Source organism: Homo sapiens, chromosome 10 (assembly GCF_000001405.40).
Source record: "Homo sapiens chromosome 10, GRCh38.p14 Primary Assembly".
NCBI lineage: Eukaryota > Metazoa > Chordata > Mammalia > Primates > Hominidae > Homo > Homo sapiens.
In genome coordinates, this window is record NC_000010.11 from 32162848 (window position 1) to 32170014 (window position 7167).

Below are 7167 nucleotides of genomic sequence, written 5' to 3' on the forward strand. Positions count from 1 at the left end.
AAAATGGTTCCTCAGTGAGAATGAAGGACAGTGTGCCCCAATCCCAGAAAGAGCTTCTACCCTAGGGTGCAAAACCCAGCTCTCCCCTCTCCTACAGCAGCTTTCCAGCCTCCGCAAAGGTGAGATACACACTTTATCTCCAGCCATAGGAAGAACTCCTGACAGTTCTAAAATAACAGTTTGTGCCATTAAAAGTGTGGTCCAGGATAGAAGAGTTGAAGGGTGGGCATTTGCCTCACCTCTCCATAAAAGCCAAGTCAAATCTAATGCCCCCCAGGACTGGAAATTTGGTGAAACCCAAAGGCAGCCTGGAACGACTCATGTCCTTCTTGTGGGGGCAGGGGTCGTGGCGAGGCTTCTCCCTGAAATGGTGTGAGCAGCAGCTGTGGATGACTGGAACGACTGGAACGACTCATGGCCTTCTTGGGAGGGCAGAAGTCATGGTGAGGCTTCTCCCAGAAATGGTGTGGGCAGCAGCTGTGGACCTAAAGGAAGGGAAGGAGACAGCAAATGCTTTGTGGCAACTGCAGCTAAGAGGGTGTGGGCACATGGGAAGCACTATGGTCCCTAGAAATCCTGCAGTGGGGCTGGGAGAATCTGAGGCAAAGTTATTTCTTATGCTCAAGCCAGTGGACAGTTGTGACGTTGGACGCTGAGCATCAAAATAAAGTGCAACCTCCCCTGTGGTCACAGGTGGAGGGATGTCGGACATTCAGGTTACGTAAAAATGATACAAGGCTCAGTCCTCAGAGGAACGTTTCATGTCAGGTAGAGTCCATGTCTTATCAAGAATACACTTCTTTCATTTTCCTCTGGTAAATATTTAAACACCATTCTTTTTTTTTTTTTTTTCTTGGGATGGAGTCTTGCTATTAATATGTTGTCCATGCTGGTCTCAAACTCCAGGGCAGAAGAGATTCTCCCACCACCTCAGCCTCTCAAATAGCCGGGACTACAGGCATGCATCACTGCACCCAGGTTTTTTTGTTTTTTGTTTTTTTTTTTTTTTGAGACAGAGTCTCACTCTGTTGCCCAGGGTGGAGTACAGTGGTGCAATATTAGCTCACTGCAACTTCCGCCTCTGGGGTTAAAGTGATTCTCATTCCTCAGCCTCCCAAGCAGCTGGGATTAGAGGCGTGTGCCACCACGCCCGGCTAATTCTTTGTACTTTTAGTAAAGACGGGGCTTTGCTATGTTAGCCAGGCTGCTCTCGAACTCTTGGCCTCAAGTGATCTGCCTGCCTCGGCCTTCAGAGTGCTGGGATTACAGGCATGAGCCACCGAACCTGGTGTTAAACACCATTTTTTTTTTTTTGAGACAGAGTCTCACTGTCGCCCAGGCTAGAGTGCAGTGGCGTGATCTCAGTTCACTGCAACCTCCGCCTCCCGGCTTCAAGCGATTCTCCCACCTCAGCCTCCGGTGTAGCTGGGACTACAGGCGTGTGCCACCACACCTGGGTAATTTTTGTATTTTTAGTAGAAATGGGGTTTTGCCATGTTGGCCAGGCTAGTCTTGAACTCCTGACCTCAGGTGATCCACCTACCTCAGCCTCCCAAAGTGCTGGGATTACAGGCGTGAGCCACCGCGCCTGGCCCCCTTAAATCTGCATTTTGAAACAAGCATCCTCTGCTGGAGAATTTCACTTGGCTTTTTCTTGTTTGTTTGTTTGCTTGCTTGTTTTTTTGAGACAGAGTCTCACTCTGTTGCCCAGGCTGGAGTGCAGCAGCGTTATCTTGGCTCACTGCAACCTCTCCCTCCCGGGTTCAAGCAATTGTTGTGTCTCAGCCTCCCAAGTAGCTGGGATTGCAGGCATGTGCCACCACTCCTGGCTAATTTTTGTATTTTTAGTAGAGATGGGGTTTCACCATGTTGGCCAGGCTGGTCTCAAACTTCTGACCTCAGGTGATCTGCCCGCCTTGGCTGCCCAAAGCACTGGGATTACAGGTGTGAGCCATTGCACCTGGCTGGATCATTTCTATTTGCCTTTTCAGACCCATTCTCCATCCTTCTTCATCCCATCTTGAGCCCCAGGATTCAGACCCATTCTCCATCTTTCTTCATTCCATCTTGTGCCCCAGGATTCAGACCCATTCTCCATCCTCCTTCATTCCATCTTGAGCCCCAGGATTCAGACCAATTCTCCATCCTTCATTCCATCTGGTGCCCCAGGATTCAGACCCATTCTCCATCCTTCTTCATCCCATCTTGAGCCCCAGGATTCAGACCCATTCTCCATCCTTCATTCCATCTTGAGCCCCAGGATTCAGACCCATTCTCCATCTTTCTTCATTCCATCTGGTGCTCCAGGAGATGACATTTATGGACTGCTTCAACTGTGCTTCCCTGTGCTCTGGAATCCAACTGGGTCTAGTGCGTGGTACACTCTGGCAGCAAATGAGAGAGTGGGAGGAGAGGGAGGCTGGGATATTAATTCCCCCTTGGCCATTTCCCTGCCAGGCTGCAGTTTAGCAGTGGTTGAGTCCTCTTCTACGCTGCTCCCTCCAGGTTCCTCTAGCCCTCCCTTTCCCCAACCCTTCAAGCCTAGTGGTGCCCAATGCCCAAGGTGCGCCCAAAACCAAGTGAATCAGAATCTCTAGGCAGGGGCACCCAGCACTCATACTTTAAAGCTTCCCCAGGAGATTCTACCGTGCAGTCCAGGTTGAAAAGAAAAAACAGCTCTAGAGCTTTTGTTTTTGTTTTTAGATGGAGTTTCGCTCTTGTTGCCCAGGCTGGAGTGGAATGGCACGATCTCAGCTCACCGCAACCACCGCCTCCGGGGTTCAAGCGACTCTCCTGCCTCAGCCTACCAAGTAGCTGGGATTACAGGCATGAGCAACCACGCCCAGCTAATTTTGTATTTTTAGTAGAGACGAGGTTTCTCTGTGTTGGTCAAGCTGGTCTCGAACTCTCGACCTCAGGTGATCCACCCACCTCAGCGTCCCAAAATGCTGGGATTACAGGCGTGAGCCACCGTGCCTGGCAGAACAGATGCCAAGTCAGCTGTCTCAGAAAGGGTCTGAAATTCTGCATGTCTAACAAGATCTCTGGGTGATTCACATGCACATTAAACTTTGAGAAGCACTGTCCTCATCAATTCCTTCACTTAACAGACTTAAAAAGGGAAATCCAGAGACATAAAGCAACTAGCCTGAGAATACACAGGACCAGAACCAAGTCCTCCAAGTCTAATGGTTTTGGCATGGCCTACCATGAAGTCCCAGGCTGGAGACCTGAGATGACCCTGAGAGGCAGCAGCGAAGAGTCAGAAAGGAATACTTGCAGGAGGCTGGGGTTCTGCAAAGAGGACTTTCTTTAAACAGGCACTACATTTGTTTGGTTTTTTTTCTCCCGAGACAGAGTCTCGCTCTGTCGCTCAGGCTGGAGTGCAGTGGTGCGATCTCAGCTCACTGTGGCCTCCACCTCCCAGGTTCAAGCTCTTCTACCTCAGCTTCCCGAGTAGCTGGAATTACAGGCGTGCGCCACCACCCCCAGCTAATTTTTGTATTTTTAGTAGAGACAGGGTTTCACCATGTTGGCCAGGCTGGTCACAAACTCCTGGCCTCAAATGATCTGCACCTCTTGGCCTCCCAAAGTTCTGGGATTACAGGCATGAGCCACCACACCTGGCCAACAGGCAGTATGTTTGTATATATGTAACCCCTGGATATATGAGAGCTAAAGAAAGAGGGAATTTCCTGAGGCCTCACAGGAACAGGTGCAAAGAGCAGCTGCTGGGAGAGGTCTCCACTGGGAGCTTTTGTGGAGGGAGGGAGGACAGGTCAGATGGTGTCAGCTCTTCCAGAGCCTGAGTCCCAGAGTATGTTCTGCAACACTTGGATCATTAGAAATGTGCTAACATTGTCACATCACTGAAACCAATCTTTGGGCAGGAAAAGACAAGCTCCTGTCCTCTGATTCACAAATTTCCCAAGACTTTCATTTCCTATTAAACATTTAGAGCCTCTTAGCAGATGGGGTAGACTGTGTATAAGAATGATCAATATGGTCGGGTGCAGTGGCTCATGCCTATAATCCCAGCAATTTGGGAGGCCAAGGTGGGAGGATCACCTAAGGTCAAGAGTTCAAGACCAGCCTGGCCAACATGGTGAAACCCGTCTCTACCAAAAATACAAAAATTAGCCAGGCATGGTGGTGGGCACCTGTAATCCCAGCTACTCAGGAGGCCGAGGCAGGAGAATTGCATGAACCTGGGAGGCAGAGGTTGCAGTGAGCCGAGATGGTGCCACTGCACTCCAGCTTGGGTGGCAGAGTGAGACTCCATCTCAAAAAAAAAAAAAAAAAAAAAAAAAGAATGGCCAGCATAATTCTTCTCCCTCCATACTTATGTTCTTCTTTTTTTTTCTTTTTTTAAAATGATATAAGGTCTTGCTGTGATACCCAGGCTGGTCTCAAACTCCTGGCCTTAAGTGATCCTCCTGCCTTGGCCTCCCAAAGTCCTGTGATTACAGGTGTCAGCCACCGCATTGGCCCCATGTTTTTGAGTAGTCACCTCTCATACTGACTCCAGGTATGGCCACATGGCTTGTCTTGGTCAGTGGGACAAAAACAAACATGCCACAAGCAGAGATGCACACTTGGGCTTGCCTCTCTTGCTGTGCTTTGGAACCTTGGGAGCACAATGTGGAAAGGCTGGGGCCGGCCTACAGGAGGATGACAGCCCCCATGGAGCAGAGACAAGACACCCCAGCTGAGACCCTCCTGCCCCCAGGCCAACCAGCCTGCTAATCCCCAGACTTCACGTTTTGACCAATTGCCAGCTGACCAAAAACACACACGGGCACCCAGCAGAGATCAGCAGAGCCAGCCCAGAGCTTAATGACACCACCTGGCTGACCCTCAGCTGAGTCAAATGATTACTGGTTTAGGCCACTAACTTTTGGTGTGGTTTATGATACAACCGGAGCTAACAGATCCAAACACAACAGGTTAGCCTGAAATATTATAAACTGCTTGTCAGCCAGGCACGTCTTGCAGCACTGTTTTGTTGGCAGAATAATAGAAATAGAGAACATGCAAGTTGTGCCCTGCCGTAGGATATCATGCAGCCATTGGAAGGAACCATTAAATCTGCACCCATTCATTTAAAGGGGTTTCAGAGAGGTAACAGTAAGTAAAAAAAAAAGGGCAAAATCACAGAGTAGTGAATATACAATAAGAACTCTTTTTTTTTTTTTTTTTCCTGGCTGGGAGCAGTGGCTCACACCTGTAATCCCAGCACTTTGGGGGGCCAAGGTGGGTGGATCACCTGAGGTCAGGTGTTCAAGACCAGCCTGACCAACATAGTGAAACCCTATCTCTACTAAAAATACAAAATTAGCCGGTCATGGTGGTGCATGCCTATAATCCCAGCTACTTGGGAGGCTGAGGCAGGAGAATCACTTGAACCCAGGAGGCAGAGGTTGCAGTAAGCTGAGATTGTGCCATTGCACTCCAGCCTGGGCAACAAGAGCGAAACTCCATCTCAAAAAATAAACCCCCCACAAAAAAACATTTTTTTTTTTTTTTGGCTGGGAATGGTGGTTCACACCTGTAATCCCAACACTTTGGGAGGCCAAGGTAGAAGGATCGATTGAGTTTAGGAGTTTGAGATCAGCCTGGGCAATATAGTGAGACCCCCATCTCTATTTTTTTTTTTAAAAGAACTTATTTTTGTCAAACAGTGACAGAGTCCCATACAGATATGTTTGTTTATGCAAGCTAGGAGAAAAATATGGAAGGACACACACCAGAGAGTGGTGGAGATGCTGGTAGGAGTAGGGGAGGATAAAAGCAGGGGTTGGGGGAGAAAAAAGAAAGAAAAGATGGTATTTAAGTATCCTCATTTGGTAGGCAGCACTTTGGGAGACAGAAGCAGGAGGATCACTTGAGGCCAGGAGCTCAAGACCAGCCTGGATAACATATCGAAACCCCATCTCTACAACAAACAAACAAACAAGCAAACAAACAAAAAGTCCCACGAAATGTATGATCCTGCTTATGCAAATGTATTCATATGCATTCATGCCTAAACATTTCCTGAAATGACAGTATCTAAACTGTTAGGATTTCAGTGACTCTTTTCTTTTTTTCTTTTTTTTTTTTTTTTTTTTTTGACAGGGCCTTGCTCTGTCACCCAGACTGGAGTGCACTGGCGTGATCTTAGCTCACTGCAGCCTCGAAACCCTGGGAGGGTTCGAGGGCGCAAGCAATCCTCCTGCCTCAGCCTCCTGAGTAGATAGGACTACACATGTGAGCCACCGTGCCCTGTTTTCTTTACACTTTTATGAATTGTAGGCAGGGCGTTGTGGCTCACGCCTGTAATCCCAGCACTTTGGGAGGCCGAGGCGGCGGATCACCTGAGATCGAGAGTTTGAGACCAACCTGACCAACAGTAGAAACCCCATCTCTACTAAAAATACAAAATTAGCCAGGTGTGGTGGTGCATGCCTGTAATCCCAGCTACTCAAGGAGGCTGAGGCAGGAGAATCGCTCGAACCCGGGAGGAGGAGGTTGCGGTGAGATGGGATCATGCCATTGCACTCCAGCCTGGGCAACAAGAGCGAAACTCTGTCTCAAAAAAAAAAAAAAGAAGAATTGTTCAAATGTTATATTGAGTATATGGTATTTAATAAATTTGCTAATTTATAAAGCTATTTTCCTGTTGAAAAAAAAAGTGCTCCACACCTAGAGGGTGCTACATCAGGGCCAATGTGCAATAGAATCACCAGTGGTTCTTAAAAATCTGAATTCCTGTGTTTCACTCCGGGTGTCCTGAATGAGAACCTCTGGGCATGGGGACCCGGAGTCTACATTACAAATCAGCACCTGGGGCAATTCTAACTGGCACTGAAAGTATGAGAGGCACTGCCAGAGCTTCTCCAGAATGAATAATCAGCAGTGCTTATTGAAAAGCTGCCCACACTCTGGGCAGCTAATCTGAAAAGCCGTGAACAGCTAAAGCAGCTGACGGACATTTAATCTGTAAGCATGTTCAAGGTCTTGTGCACTCAACAGAATCTTGCACCGCTCCTTCCTGACTTCTGGTTTCCTCTGCTTCCTCCCACATCCAGATGTCCAAGCCTCCTGTTTTCATTCCTGGCTCCCCCATGATCTGGGACCGTCTCTGCCTGGGCTCCTCTCCCAGGGCCACCTTCAGGGACCCTTTTC

At 48.5% G+C, this 7167-nt stretch overlaps 1 annotated feature.

The window, feature by feature from the left end:
* Positions 6634–6928: a silencer, noted in NCBI's record as "tiled region #14665; HepG2 Repressive non-DNase unmatched - State 23:Low, and K562 Repressive non-DNase unmatched - State 20:ReprD". NCBI's record gives its function as "represses a minimal TATA promoter and a strong SV40 promoter by Sharpr-MPRA in HepG2 and K562 cells {active_cell/tissue: HepG2 | K562}" and the evidence as "EXISTENCE:reporter gene assay evidence [ECO:0000049][PMID:27701403]".